Here is a 16094-nt window from a genome sequence, read left to right on the forward strand (position 1 = left end):
ATTTCAGAATAAGTTGTTAATTTCCACAAACATCCTGCTGGGATTCTGAATGCACTGAATATGTGTAATATCTGGGTGTATATGTGTAATTAAATGTTTTTTTGTTTGTTTGTTTGTTTTTTCTGAGACGGAGTTTCGCTCTTGTTGCCCAGGCTGGAGTGCAATGGCACGATCTCGGCTCACTGCAACCTCCACCTCCTGGGTTCAAGCGATTCTCCTGCCTCAGCCTCCCAAGTAGCTGGGATTACAGGTGCCCACCACCTCGCCCGGCTAATTTTTTGTATTTTTAGTAGAGATGGGGTTTCACCATAATGACCAGGCTAGGCTGGTCTCGAACTCCTGACCTCAGATGATCCACCCTCCTCAGCCTCCCAAAGTGCTGGGATTACAGGCGTGAGCCACCACGCCCGGCCAATTAAATGTTTTAATCCCTTAAAAAAAAGAGAAAGAGAATTAGGAATCCCCCACCTATCATAGGCTGTTCCCAGAATGAGGCAACCACAGGAAGCATTCCTGTGGAGTTCCTGTCCGTCACTTCTGAACAAGAGGTTGCTGCCAGGGTAGGTGGAAGGACAACAAGAGCAGGGGCCTTTGGAGCCGTGTTTCCTGTCACAGTCTAACAAGTGGCAGACAAGGAGAAAGAGATGGCAGAAGAAGAAAAATCAGATCCAGCCTGGAGAGTTAGAAAGATGAAGATAGAGTGGCAGGGCACAGTGGCTCACGCCTGTAATCCCAGCAGTTTAGGAGGCGAGGCGGGCGGATCACGAGGTCACAAGATTGAGACCATCCTGCCTAACACGGTGAAACCCTGTCTCTACTAAAAATACAAAAAAAAATAGCCGGGCGTGGTGGCGGGCGCCTGTAATCCCAGCCACTCTGAAGGCTGAGGCAGAAGAATGGCGCGAACCCGGGAGGCGGAGTTTGCAGTGAGCCGAGATCGCGCCATTGCACTCCAGCCTGGGCAACAGAGCGAGACTCCGTCTCAAAAAAAAAAGAAAGATGAAGATAGAGTGAAGGTGTAGGTGGTGAAGGAGGCCCAAAGAGAGGTACTTCTGAAGATTTTTTTTTTTTAATAGGAGAGTATATTTGAGAGCTATCTGTTAACACCTCTAAGTTGTTTATCAGCATTCTATAAGGAAGAAAGATCATCCTACCCACTTTTGCTACTTTCAAGATACCACTGGAAGTAGTTTCCCCATTCTGGTTGCTTAATTTTTGCACTAGCACCTTCCATCCTGGTCTGCATATATCAAAGGATCTGCATTTAGGCCATTGTGATGTGGAGTCATTCTTCAGTCATCCTGGTCCATTTGTTTAAGTAATTACACAATGAGGCACCCCAAGTACTGTATATTAACCCAGCTGGGGTTTCTAAAGGTGGAATCAGATGTTCTGCAGTTGCAGGGGATTTAGTCGATTTAGAGGATTTGTTCTCCATAATTTTTAATACCTTCTCATTAGATTGACTAAGTCAGGAGGTGTTCTGAATCTGAATGTGCTGCTTGCAAACACAAAGCTTGAGGATGCGCACCCAGGAAGCACAAGTTCCAGTAGCTTATTACCTGTGCTCTGAAGTAGACTGCATGAGGCACAGTCTTTATATATTTTTTAAACAGGAAAATATGTGCGGTATGGTGAAGCAATAGTTGAGAATTTGGTTCATATTCAGTGATGTTATGCCTAAAGTCAAGTAAATATGTGGTTGAGTGGGTAGAAGAGAAAAGTTAATAATTGTGTAGGCACCTTAGGGTCTGGTGGAAGGATGATTGATTCCATCCTGCCTTTGTTCTGTATCTGATAAACAAGTTTACAACCAGTATCTGTCAGTAAAATATTTAACAAACTCCAGTTACAAACCCAAGGGGTCAGCTTTAGTTTGTAGGCAGTGGTTTAATTATGCATATGTCCAAACTGCAGCCATCTTGGACCAGTTTTATCTTTTCTTCTGACACCATCTATCATCATCTATCTGTCTACAGTATGCTGTCTGAAGTTTCTTCAAATAGGACAAACATTTTGAGAAGTTCCTCAGGATTTGAAAGGTTACAGTTAAAACATGCCTATTTATGGGAGTTTGTAACGCTTATCTCTGACATAGCTGTTTTTGCAATATACACACATTCCTGGGCCAGAAAGAAATTTAGAGGAGGACTGTGTTGATCAGTTTTTTCTTTTATTTGCTTTCACAGGTGTAATAAATGTGTTGCTTAAATTTTAAGTTGTCATTTGTATAGCACTTTACATTTTATAAAGCACTTTCACTGGCATTCTTTCTTTGACTACTATTAGCCAAAAACCCAAAAATTGTTTTAATACTGTAACAGTTAAAAACAATCAACCATGGCCGGGCGTGGTGGCTCAAGCCTATAATCCCAGCACTTTGGGATGCCAAGGTGGGTGGATCACCTGAGGTCAGGAGTTTGAGACCAGCCTGACCAACATGACGCAACCCTGTCTCTACTAAATATAAAAAAATTTGCCAGGCGTAGTAGTGGCAGACGCCTGTAAATCTCAGCTACTCAGGAGGCTGAGGCAGCAGAATTGCTTGAACCCGGGAGGCAGAGTATGCAGTGAGCCGAGATTGTGCCACTGCACTCCAGCCTTGGGGACAAGAGCAAAAATTCATCTCAAAAATAAAAAATAAAAAAAAAACCATGCCATAATTATAGCTCTGACCAAATAAACTGAATATCCCAAAGTTAAAAAAGATTAAAGGTAATAGCTAAGTCAGCAAAAGCAATTTAAAAAGATAACTAATTATATGGACAATATATATAAACAAAAAAATAAAGTTTTAAAACACAACAATCAATTCTAAACATCTGTTTTGGCTGATTTGTAGGGTTTTCTTCTACTTTAAAGCTGTGGGTTTCATATAAATTTAATGATCTTAATGAATCTAACTTAATGAATCTAACCTTGGTGCTGATGAGTCAAGAAAGGGATGAGATAACCACAATATATCAAAGACACAAAAGGGACAATTCTAATCCCATCTAATGAAATTGGGAAGCCAAAGATCAAGAATAACGTCTAATTTTACATCTAATTAAACACATAAGTTTACTGAATATAATAATATACATAGGAAAGAAAAAGAGTTTCACAGCGATAGTTTATATTAAAGACGCTATTTAAGAAAAGTTTTCTGATAAATAAGATTAAAGATTATCTCTTATAAATCTCAGCAATACTAAATACTTGTTCATTTTAAGCTCCAACCAGGAAACAGAATGAAAAATACTGAAATGCAAATTTTAGAGCTTTAGTACCCTTTTTAATATGGAATAGGAGACAGAGAAAAGGTGATGAATTTAATTCAACTATTTTCTTGTCTTTTTAAATCTTTATAAGGGTGTTAACTCACATTTAAGGATATGGAGAGGGTTCTTATTACGATGAATTTAACATATGTTAAGTTCACCTTAGTTGGCATGCATGCTTTGAAGGACATCATTATTTACTCTAACTTCCCCAATTCCACTTTCTAGATTCCTTCTTCTGGCTTTTTTATATATTCAGAAGTAAAGCGTTTTTTAATATTCAAAAGTACCTTTCAAAACTCAGTAATACCACTGGGTGGACTAGATGGAAGAAAATTGAGAGCAATAGTCAAACGTGGTAAATAACAGTTAACTTCACAACTGTCCAAGTCATCTTGGGAACTGAAATTCTGATATGCACAAATTAGGGGAACAACCTCCCAAATGAAACTATCCTTAAGTTTCCAATAAACCAAAACCCTAGCTTCTAATTATCATTTTTTTCTTTCTAAAAATCAACTGGCCTAAGTCTTTAAAAACAAAAAAAAAACACAAGATAGTTGAAGTGACTTAAATGTCAACGAATTTTCAGACTGGTTAAATTATGGTTGAAACACCACAGCACGCTGTTTCAACCTTTAAAGCAAGTTGAACAGTAGTAATACAGTATAATCTCACAGGATGTTTTTAAAATGAGACTGTAACTACACAAACTTCTTTTTAAATTGGTTCTTAAAAATAGTAAATAGTGGTTGCCTCTGAGGAGTACAAGCATAAAAGAAGCTTACTTTCACTTTACTACCTCCTGCTTTTTTTTTTTTAACCAAGAGCATCACTCTCCAATAACCTTGGTTATCAAGACACACCTTAAGAGTAATCTAAAAAAGCACAGAGAGCTTAAATAAACTTCCTCAAAGACATACAGATGGAGAGATACAAATTAGAAAATACACTCCATGGGAGAGACTACGAAATAGACTGGTAAGATCTAAATACACACAGAGCAGAATGGGAAGGAAACTGCAGACAGGAGACAAGCGAAAGATTTGTAAAGTGGGAAGGAAGCAGCAGTGAACAAAGACAAAAAGAACTAAGCAACCAAAGACAACTTTGAAGTGAAGGAGATGCATTTCTTTAGAGCCAAACTAGAAATCATGATGATGGGAAAGGAAAAGAAATAACACGAAAAAATACTCGCGATCACAAACTGTGGGGATACTTGAGTTCCTGTAATTGGTAATGCCACCACTGACACCATTTTAGTCAATCATATGCTATCATTAATCACATTTAAGTACAGCATCCAGTAAACACTAACAGTGTAACTGGAGCAACACTTTTCACAAACGGTCAACAGGACTAAATGCTTTGTATTCTCCCGCGGCTAGGCTATTTGGCTGCAGTATTCCCCAATAATGAGACATGTTTCATCTGCAGTTAAGGAAACCCATGGAGCAGTAAGACATTATTTCCTCTTACCTGCTTCTAGATAGCAGCCTACATCTCAGCAAAATTCCTGAATTTAGCTAACTTTAAGGGATAAATGTAAATCTGTCTAGAATAAAACTGAGAAAGGGGTAGCAGACCCCACTTGTTTGCCAACAGCCTCTTCAAACATGTGCCCTGTCTCTGAGAAATTATATGGTAAAGCATTTATAACTGTGGCTGTCTATGGAATCCACACTTGGCAGAAGAGCCTAAAACTCATCCTATATAGGAAAGAGGTCAAACTCAGAAATAAACAAGTCTTCAACTGAAATGGCATAGGTTAAAAATAAAATTACAAATTCAAGTCTCTGGGCTTTAGATAGTGTAAAACACCAGGCCCCTCCAATTTTGGTAGAGCGAAAAAAAAAAAAAGAGAAACAAAACTAGGTCTCCCAATTCTAGATTAAGAGGAATTCCAGTACATGAAAAAAAAAACTGAAAGTGTCAGAAAGAATATTTATTTGCTTTTAATGGATGATTATGAGTTAGAAAATATAACCATACTTGGGTCTGCAATGAGTCAATTTGGAGTATATTTCTGCTTCTGTCTTTACAACTAAATAGGAAGTCACTCCTAATTTTATTTGCCCTTCTGTAACATTGGGAAATTCTGTTTATTTCCTTGAATTTATAAGAGTTGCACATTACAGAAAAATAAATGCTATCTATCCCAAGATATATACAACAAATTTAACTGAAGGTAAAATTCTGATTACTAAAGATTTTCTTTTAAGCCCAGGTCTGTGGGAAAAGAGGAACTTAGCCTTTTCAGGGAGACTTTAAGGTCATGAAAAGCCCCATATACTCCTCTATGAAGCTGTTCTCCCATTTTCAAACTTGAGAAAAATGTTAAGAAAATGGATACATGATAGTATACACACCTGATTTGACCCAAACCTCAGGAAAGTTCCTTAACCTCACTAATCCTGTTTCCTCATCTATAAAATAATGACAGGCCGGGCACAGTGGCTCACGCCTGTAATCCCAGCACTATGGGAGGCAGAGGCAGGTGGATCACCTGGTCAGGAGTTCGAGACCAGTCTGGCTAACATGGTGAAACACCGTTTCTACTAAAAATACAAAAAATTAGCCCAGCCTGGTGGCGTGCGCCTGTAATCCCAGCTACTCAGGAGGCTGAGGCAGGAGAATTGCCTGAACCCAGAGGCAGAGGTTGCAGTGAGCCAAGATCGCACCACTGAACTCCAGTTTAGGCAACAAGAGCAAAGCTCAGTCTCAAAATAATAATGACAAATCCAAATCTCCTGAATAGTATCTGTAAAGCATCAACACAACATCAACACAAAGATCGGCACAAGGTATGCACTCAGCTCTGACAATTCTTTTTACTCACCAATCTTTCTTCTTTCTCTCTTTTTTTCCTCTTACATTTCAGGTATCATTTTGCTTTCTGTCTTTGGGCAATCCACTCGCAGGAAGTTACTAACCAACCTTATTGGTAATACCTATTATTCATTCCCTGGTCCAATCTCTCCCCTTAGCTCTAGGATAAATATGGCCAACTGACCACCAATCCATTCCAATCTTTAAATACCCTGAGAATTGATTATATAATCTTCCCTCCAAATCTGCTCTTCCTCTATTTACCTATCTTGGTTGTCATCCACAGTCACACAAAAACAACTTGGAAGCCAACTGAGCTCTTCCTTCACCCTCTGCATGGCCCTCCATCAAATTTATTGTGAAGTCCTTAGAAATTCTGTTTCTTCCTTCACTTCCATCCCCACTGCCTGTTTGTTCCTCATCATGGTGCATGAACTCCTGTCAGAACCTTGTAACTGACTTCCCTACATCCTTTAAACATGTGATATCTTCCTAAAGTTCAACTACTAATCTTCCCTTCCAAGGTACCAACACTGGCTTCATGATAGTATCTAAACTCCTTGGCAAGGAATTCAAAGCTTTTCAGGATCTGCTCCTGCCTACCAGCTGCTCCCAACTTGGAATTCTGATATTCTAGGAGTGTCAAACAAACTTTAATAACTAGCCACCCTCTACTCAGGCTGTTATTTCTGCCTGAGACGGCTTACCCTCTATCCCCTTGACCTGGGAAATTCTCTTAAGAATTACTTATTTTACAAAACCCTTCCATACCTTTATTAGAACACCTACCACATAAGATTTCACTTCTTGTTTACTGCATTATCTCCTCTACTCAATAGTAAACCGCTGTAGAGCAGAAACTAAGTCTTGTATTACAACCAGGTGCTGGCTGTACATAGTACACAGAAACGGGTAGAATTTGCTAACTACTCAAAGAGTGGGGCAGCCAAGATTAATATAAACAGTATATTTAAGGGCATGGAATGGGAAATGGTGTCTACAATAAAGACGTGAATTTTAAAAACTAATGTTTTGAAAGGAGTCATTGTTTGCACTATTGATCATAGAAATATTTTTAATGTTTTTAAAAAGGAGTCTTTTTTTAACATTTGGTCTATAGACTTTTGCAGGAAAAAAAACCTGAGGTTTTAAAAGCTATAGGAAAAAATGTTTCTTGCTTATTTCAAGCAGGAGCAGGGGGAAGGAAATTAGACTAGTGTGGGGAGAAATGAGAAATGAGAGCTACTTCAACTCAGCACAGTTAACATTTACCAAATTAAAATAACAGTAAGCCAAACCAAACTTATAATAGGTGGAAAACAACTAAATACAAAGCTAGAAATAAATTCTTTTAGTTCAACTGTAACTTTCATACTTGAATATGTAACAGCGGTGTACCTGTGACATTAGTATTTCTGAGGCAAAGAGAAAACCTCCCTACCTTGAAAACAAACTCCCTTTTTGGACTAGATGACATTTCCAGATTATTTCCATAATACAGAAAAATCCTAGTTGCAGATTCAATAAAAAACTGGAGAAACAAAAGACAACAAAAAAGTCTCAATTTATAACACCCCAAAATCAAAACTTAAGTGTGGGAAATACAAGACAATCTTGTGGACAAGAGAAATCAGGAAGAAAGAAAAATGACATTTTCCAGGTTTCCGCAGGACTTTCTGATGTAAAATGGTTGAATCAGAATTGAAAAGACAACCAAGAGTCAAGGGCAGTGTCTTCCCAGAACTGCTTTCTTAAGGTAAGGGAGGGGACCAAAGACACTCATTCTTTCCACTAAAAATTTACTTAATGTTTCCCCAGAAACGATAACTGACACAGGCCTCAGTTTTATCTTCTGTAAAATGTCTACTTCCCAGTGTTGTGAGGACAACACAGCTAATATTTATCAATCATGTCACTGGCTTAATTACAACTTATTTAAAATAGGTATTACTACCATTTTACAGATGAAAAAAACTGGATCACAAAGTGACTATAAGATGATGACAGCTTTGAAACCCAAGCATTACTAACCCAGAAACCTCTGAACAGCAAAACTTCGTGCCTCAATACATGTGTTCCTTTTCTGCTCAACCAATTATATTCCTACCATCTCTTAAGAAAAAACGAAAATGACATACTTTTAAAGCAACCTACTATGTGCCTGGCATGGTAAATTGATTAATTTATCCTCATAAGAGCCCTGTATAGTTGGTTTAGATTTAAAAGTTTATGCTTTCCCCAGTGAAAAACTTTTATTTTACATGTAAAATGGTTCTTAAATTGCTTCTCTGACATAAATATGTCTGAGTTTGAGCCCTATGAGTCAGGATTTCCCAGGACTTGATAACCACTCTGGGGGAAAAAAAAAAAAATTGACCATTCAGGTTCCAGATATACAGAATTAAGAATACTGTGCAAGGACAGACAGACTTGGGGCCTGCTGTCCACCAGTGATCTAGAATATTCTACCAATTGAACTTCGTATCTCCAACCTCCCACAAAAGCAATACAAAGAGAAGGCAGTAGAGACCTTGTCTGTGGGTCTTTCCCACCCTGAATTCATTCACATTGATAATCCAAATCTCTGTTTTACATCATCTAATTAGTAAAACAAAAACCATTAAGCTCTGTATGTAGTATATGAAATCTGCTAGGAAATGGAAATTCTAGCCATAACTTAGCTATGAAATACTAATTAAGAAAAACAACTCAAACAATCTCAGCGTATTTGCAAAGCACCTCATATGCATTTTAAATACAGGACCCAGAGAAATAGCTGCGAAAGGAAAGCCAAAGTTATTAAATCCAAAGTTTTTCATTTTCTTGACATGCTCTTTCTATTTAATACAGAAATGTACTAATATAGGTTGCCTTTTGGTATTGTAATTTGGTCAACCAAAACTTGGGAAAAATAGGTCCAAAGTTTTTCATTTTCCTGACATGCTCTTTCTATTTACTACAGAAATGTACTAATATAGGTTGCCTTTTGGTATTGTAATTTGGTCAACCAAAACTTGGGAAAAATAGGTTTATTAATAACAAAATAATGAAAAAAAATGGATTTCAACTAGTATCGATTTTTAGGTGTGTGGGGGCAGGGGCATTCAAGGGTATTATTTCCTAGTAATGATCACTTAGATTCTAGGCCTTACACATGATTCAAATGCAGGAGAAATCAGGAAAGAAGCAACAGATATGGTGGTGGGTATCGGATGTCTAGACTACAGGCAAACCCCAAATACCAAAGAAGCATCCATGTGTCAAACCAGCATAATTTTTGAGCTATGCCTGGGGCCACATACAAAAAAAGAAAAGGTTAGCTTGAAAAGAAAAATCTAGGAGAGGTAACCAGAAGGTCAACCACAGTTCACGGGATCTGGGAAGAAGCTAGCCGTTACCCTGTGTCATCTTCCTGAGCAGCTTCCTCCCCAGCCAGCTCCCCAGCCTCCTTACAATGTTTCCAAAAGGCCCAACTCCCTAAACATTTGCTTCTTCAAGGTCATCCTAAGGCACTGAATAACCACCAAACACTGAGTCACGCATACCTTTCGCCTAAAAAAGATCCCCCTTCCCAAAATCATTATATAAATACTTTAAATGCCATGAGGGTTTTCTCCGAAACTCCACCAGAAACAAACTCCCAGACTTTTAGATTGGGCAACTAAATGTGTTCAATTTTGCGACATAAAATTTTAAAAGGCTTTTCAAGTCTGGCAAATTCCAGTTCAAAAACAGGTGCTTTCAGCGTACTCTGAATAACAAGGTCAAATTCATTTTTAAATTATTAAAAGAAAAAGAAAAGCTTTTCTTAACCCTCCTTAGGACAACTTAAGAAGGGGGAGAAAGAATTGCTGGGGTAAAACTGTCTCGGATAGGGTCCCTGTTTAACTCAAGAGTAAATCCTAATCTTCCGAGTGCCTGAAGTAATGGAAGGTTACAGGAAGAAAATAAAAACAAAGAAACTGACTAGGGTCATAGTTACCAGAACAAACTGCACCGCCCTACCACCTCAAGAAACCAACTCCCCCTACACCAAAACAAACCTTGCCCTTCCCCGCTCCCCCCACCCCCTAGAAACACACAAAGAAACTGGCCGCACGCACAATTCGCCCACAGTCCTCACTTCCCTTAGTAGGGCAACAGGGAGCCCCGGAACTTCCCCACGGTGGTTTATCGGGCGTCGTCGGGGCTGGGTCCCCTGGACTTGCGGGCCACAGCTCGGCTGGGGAGGAGGTGCTCGCCGCCCTCACCCGTTTCTCTGAAAGCAGTAAAATGCCTCCCCGCTCCTCCCAGGGCCCTCGGGTCCCCACCTTCCGTAAATCGTGCTTCCCCCTCGGGCACTCCGGTGACTGCCGAGAGAGACGCCGAGCCAGCAAGTAAGAATGCTCCCTGGTGGATTTGTTGGTAAATAAGACATCTCGCGTCGGGAGGAAAGTTCCTGCGGGGGCCGCTCGCCGGGGCGAGGGCGAGGGCAGCGGGAGGTGAACCGCGTCGCTCGCCGCCACCTCCCTCACCTGCGCCGGAACAACGGGCCCCGCGCCAGCCCGGCCCGGCGCCTCCCGCAGGCCGCGCCTCCCGCACGCCGCGCTGCCGGGGCTTGTTCCTCCTCATGGCTTTGCCCTGACGTAATTCAAACATGGCAACAGTTCGACTTCAAAGGCGAACCCACAGACCTCCCAGACACAGGCTCCCGGGCCACGAGAAACCGGCCGAGCAGTCCGGGCCAAGCTCCCCGGAACCCTCGGCCGTCGCAACCCCCGACGCCAGGGCTGAAGCGCCGGGCACTGCCGCCTCCCTCGGTCGCCCGCCCGCACGCCCGGAGCGGGGAAGCACGCCGCCTCCCTACGCACCAGCATGGCACCTCGCACAAGTAGCGCCGCCAAAGTTTCCCCACGAGGGGGCTGAGGGACAAAAGCCCCTCCCGAAACTCGCCCGAACTTCGAGGGCCTCCGACCTGCACGGCCCTACGCCCAGGCGGCGGCCCCGAGCGCCGGGGGCCCGCACGGGCACATGCAGCCCTTTGTTTTCTGTCCAGCCGGGCGCTGCCTACGTGCAGCATCAGGGATGTCGGAGCGTTTCGCAGGGGCCGGACACTGGACGATCACCCTGGGTAGGGGTCCGGACCCCGCGCCCCGAAGAGTCCGGAGCCTGGCCCCCCGACCCTCCCCTCGGGAGCAGGCCCATTTAATCAAAGTTTTGCAGTGTCCTTGATGAGAAACGCCCGGAGTATCCGCCCCGCACGGGCGGAGAGTTGGCGACTTTCACTCTGCTTTTTAAACTGGCAAGACGCCATCATCAGCAAACCACATTGTCCTGCCGGCCGGACCTGCCCGACGGCGGCCGCATCCCACGGCTCACGCGGGGCTGGACATTCGGACAAGGACCAGGGTCGCAGCCCGAAGCACGTGGTCTGTCACGTAGAGCACAAAAAGCAGTGCCCTGCGGAGTTCACTGACTCCCGCGGCGTACACAACGCCGCCGCCTCCATCTCCAGCCAAGTTGGCTTCCCTGGCCATCTTACAGCGCGGACGGCCGCCCATAAACGGGAAGCCCTCGCGGTGTCGCCCACACCTACGCTACAGGTGAACGCACCGGGAGCAAAACTTCGGGCTCCGAAAGCACCCCGGACACCAGAGGCTCTTGGGCGCGGTCCGAAGAGGGCAGGCGAGTGGAAGACGGGCTGTTTTTAAGCGACCGCGTGTTGCTCTCATTGTCGCATCCGCATCCCTCCGGAGTTGAGCAAACAACGCCACGCCGCGTGCGCTCCGGCAGAGCCCAGCACTGACCCCCAAAGGCCGATTTAAAGACCCTCGGCCGCCAGCTCGGAAGCGGATGGCAACTTAGTTTCCGAGCGAATGGCGTTTATTGTCCACCCTAGTCCGAGGGCTGCAGTCAACTAAACCACGAGGTTTCACAACGGCGCCCGACCCTGCCCGCGCCTCGCGCCCACGCGGACGCACCGACCCCGGCCGCTGCGCGGTGGCCAACGAGTCGCTTTCCTCTCGGGCCTTTCGGCCGCCGGGCTCCTTTCCGCGAGAGAACACTGCGGCGGAGAAAAGTCATTGTCACCTTCAACGTGGATCCCTCAACTCCGGCGACTCCTCAATTATGCCCAGGCTCCACTCACTTCCCCGCCCCGAGACTTTCGGTTTGCCTCAAATACCCTCCCCAATTAATAAATACACACTAAACACGAGCGTACCAAAGAACCTGGGGTCTGAAGATCACGAAAACAGCGCTCCCAACAATGCCACCTCCAAGACAAAACTTCCTGTGTGTATGTGGAAGGACGGGGGGAGGTGGGTGGAGGTGAAAAGAGAAAAAAAAAAACACTGAAATCAAAGCCTCGTGAGACAGTTTTGCACTAGAAGCATGGTGAGAGTCACTCACCTTCCAAAAGCAGCCGTTCCACGCGCAATAATGTCCCCGAGGTGCGGAGTGCACGCCAGGCCAGTCCCCCTCAAGCGCTCCCTCCTCCTCAACTGCCTTGTCTAGAAAGATAGTCTCCTGCAGTTCTGCAGTTGCTACCGCTGGCCGGGAAGGTGTAGATTCCGCTTTCCCTCTGCGCACGCGCGGCTCCCGGCACAAAATTCTCTTGAATCGAACTTATTTGCATACGGGCGCGCGCACGTTGCGGGCTGGGAGGGGGAGAAGTCCCGGCGACCGCGCGCGCTCCCGAGGCCTCTATTGTCCTTTTAAGGGGAGAAGCTCCGCGGCGCGGGAAACGCGGCGGCCAGAGGGAAACGGGGGCGGGGACTGCTTACTACGGCGGACGTCACATAAACAAACGCCCCCCCCCCCGGCTGCAGGCCGCGGCGGAGAGGGAGAGGCGAGGTGGGAAAGGGAAAGGTTAGCAACTGAGGGGAGGGCTGCGCTGCTTGGCGTGTTTTCCGCCCCCGAAGTTGTTAGGGGCACCATTGAGCGCTGAAAAATTGTTCTGAAAGCTGCTTTTGCAAAATTCTCACACCTGTCCCCACTGTCGGTGACAGAGGAGGTGGTCTTGTAAGCACCCAGACTGAATTTATACTAATCCCACGTTTCCTAAATTTTGTTTGAAGTTAGGTTTTTGAAGCTTGTAAAAAAAAAATCCTCTGGGGCCAGCAAAGGTTTAGTTTTTGTGCAGTTGTAATGAGTCGTTTAATAAAGTCCCATTTTAACACCCTAGCCATTCGCTAACTCCCGCTTGCCCTTCTCAAATAGTAACCCAACCCATAACAATCCAGTTTTTTCCTCCACTTCGGCCTTAAGATTTCAAGTCTCTCCGAATTGAATGATTGTTAATTTCCGTGGGAACAGTGCCGCTTTCTTTAAAAGACTAGGCATTGGAAAGCCAATAACCTAGGGACAGGCATACCTCCTCTAGCAGCTTGTAAAGGGTGTTCCACTCACCCAGAAATAATTCCAGTAACTGGTGGTCTTGGGAATGGAAAAAATAACGAGTGACGTACAGACTTTTCAATGCAGAATATGTAATAATTCAACAATCTAAGCGCTTTCTAGACTCCGGAAGAAAAAAACTGAAGTAACTCTTCTCAGATTGATAAGAGGAAAATGAAAACCGAATGATTGATTCGCCTTTGTCCCAAGGACACACTTAACACCAACAGGCAGAAACCCGGGGTTAATGATAGAGGGTGGGGAGAGAGGAAGGATGTTTTTCCCAGAAACTTGATATTGGTCCCAAGTTACAAAAGTGTGAAAATCAACCATAAAACTTAATCATCTGCTGACACGTTTCGCTGCTTTCACTGCAGTGTCAACAATACAGATTTAAATAGTTACTTCTGAAATGTTAATTTAATTCAACAGGCAATTCCTAGTACATACAGTATAAACCCACTTCTGAACTCCTCAACTAATACTTCTTTATTTTTCTTTAGGTTCTGTAACATACTATTCCTGTAACTGTATATGAAAACTATATTATAAATACCTGAAAAGATAGCCTGGCGTGGTGGTGGGCACCTGTAATCCCAGCTATTCGGGAGCCTGAGGCAGGAGAATCGCTTGAACCTGGGAGGCGGAGGTTGCAGTGAGCAGAGATTGCGCCACTGCACCCCAGCCTGGGCGACAGAGCAAGACTGTCTCAAAACAAAAACAAAAACAAAAACAAAAAACAGAAAGAAAAAGGACACCTCTCATTAAAATATGAGCTCCTTAAAGACAAGGATTTTATGCCTTTCTTACCCATCTTTGTATTCCAGTGCCTGACACAGTGCACATCAGATAATATATACTGACATCTTGCATGCATTAGTTGGCTAGGAAAATTTTTTTTTAATGTAATAAACGGCTGGGCACAGCGCCTCACACCTGTAATCCTAGCACTTTGGGAGGCCAAGGCAGGCAGATCACATGAGGTCAGGAGTTCGAGACCAGCCTGGCCAACATGGTGAAAACCTGCCTCTGCTAAAAATATAAAAATTAGCCGGGCATGGTGGCTCACCCCTGTAATCCCAGCACTTTGGGAAGCCAAGGCAAGTGGATCACCTGAGGTCAGGAGTTCAAGACCAGCCTGGCCAACATAGTGAAACCCTGTCTCTACTAAAAATACAAAAATTAGTGGGGCATGGTGGCACTCACCTGTAATCCCTGCAACTCGAGAGGCTGAGATGTGGTGGCACATGCCTGTAATCCTAGCTACTCAGGAGGCTGAGGCAGGAGAATTGCCTGAACCCGAGAGGCGGAGGTTGCAGTGAGCCAAGATCACGCCACTGCACTCCAGCCTGGACAATAGAGCAAGACTCTGTCTCAAAAAAAAAAAAAAAATATATATATATATATATAATAAATATATAAATTAGCTGGGCATTTTCGCACAGACCTGTAATTCCAGCTACTTGGGAGGCTAAGGCACAAGAATCACTTCAATCTGGGAGGCTGAGGTTGCAGTGAGCCGAAATCGCACTACTGCACTCCAGCCTGGGTGACGGAGTGAAACTCTTGTCTCAAAAAATAATAATAATGGCCAGGCGAAGTGCCTCACGCCTGTAATCACAGCACTTTGGGAGGCCAATGTGGGTGAATTACCTGAGGTAGGGAGTTTGAGAGCAGCCTGACCAACATGGAGAAACCCCGTCTCTACCAAAAATGCAAAATTAGCCGGGCGTGGTGGCACATGCCTATAATCCTAGCTACTTGGGAGGCTGAGGCAGGAGAATCCCTTGAATCCAGGAGACAGAGGTTGTGGTGAGCCGAGAGATCAAGCCATTGCACTCCAGCCTGGGCAACAAGAGCTAAACTCTGTCTCAAAATAATAATAATAATAATAAATATATAAATATAATTTTAAAAAATTAATGGACATTTTCAAGGTTCTTACAGGTTTATCGCTAATCAGAACTTTAGTTTACAATTTTTGCATTTGACCTAAAATGAGTTTGGAAGTTATAGTGGTCACATTGGTTGATATGCCAGCCCTGTCCTTATGACAATAAAAATGAATAAGCTTAATAGCTGTTTCTGTGTTCCACTGGTGGCAAATTGGACCCTAATCATAAATTTCTGCCTTCTTTCTAAAGAGAATTTTAACAATTGTCCTGGGTTGTCTCAAATATTTATTTGGCTTATGACAGATCTTCCAAAAATAATTTCAAATTATTATATGCCTCTGAAGGTATGAAAACTGCAAATACTGGCCAGGCGCGGTGGCTTATGCCTGTAATCCCAGCACTTTGGGAGGATGAAGCGGGTGGATCACAAGGTCAGGAGTTTGAGACCAGTCTGGACAGCATGGTGAAACCCCGTCTCTACTAAAAATACAAAAAATTAGCCGGGCATGGTGGTGCACGCCTGTAGTCCTAGCTACTTGGGAGGCTGAGGCAGGAGAATCGATTGAACCCAGGAGGCAGAGGTTGCAGTGAGCTGAAATCACACCACTGCACTCCAACCTGGGTGACAGAGCGAGACTCCATCTCAAAAAAAAAAGAAAAGAAAAGAAAGAAAATTGTAAATACCATAATAATATTTTTTAAACTCCAATTATGGTTTACAGGAGTATAT

General features: G+C 43.6%; 1 protein-coding gene and 1 long non-coding RNA gene across 7 annotated transcripts in view, besides 1 other annotated feature; one reads left to right on the forward strand and one right to left on the reverse strand.

The window, feature by feature from the left end:
* SINHCAF (SIN3-HDAC complex associated factor) overlaps positions 1-12609 on the reverse strand; it is a 45567-nt gene extending 32958 nt beyond the window's left edge. For 3 of the 6 annotated variants that reach the window (NM_001135812.2, NM_021238.3, NM_001135811.2), the window contains exon 1: positions 12483-12609. The gene's annotated coding sequence lies outside the window, so the exon portion shown is untranslated. Of the gene's footprint in view, positions 1-10402; positions 10619-12294; positions 12364-12482 lie in introns of those variants that run through there. The other 3 variants (XM_017019762.3, XM_047429272.1, XM_011520803.3) reach the window with 2 other exon arrangements.
* FLJ13224 (uncharacterized LOC79857) lies at positions 10775-12404 on the forward strand. Its single transcript, NR_026806.1, has one exon. It is a non-coding gene; the product is annotated as an uncharacterized LOC79857 (long non-coding RNA).
* Positions 11698-12629: an enhancer, noted in NCBI's record as "NANOG-H3K27ac-H3K4me1 hESC enhancer chr12:31478173-31479104 (GRCh37/hg19 assembly coordinates)". NCBI's record gives its function as "activates a minimal SCP1, AML or CMV promoter by ChIP-STARR-seq in naive H9 embryonic stem cells {active_cell/tissue: H9 hESC(naive)}" and the evidence as "EXISTENCE:reporter gene assay evidence [ECO:0000049][PMID:30033119]".

This window comes from Homo sapiens, chromosome 12 (genome assembly GCF_000001405.40).
Source record: "Homo sapiens chromosome 12, GRCh38.p14 Primary Assembly".
NCBI classification, from domain to species: Eukaryota; Metazoa; Chordata; class Mammalia; order Primates; family Hominidae; genus Homo; species Homo sapiens.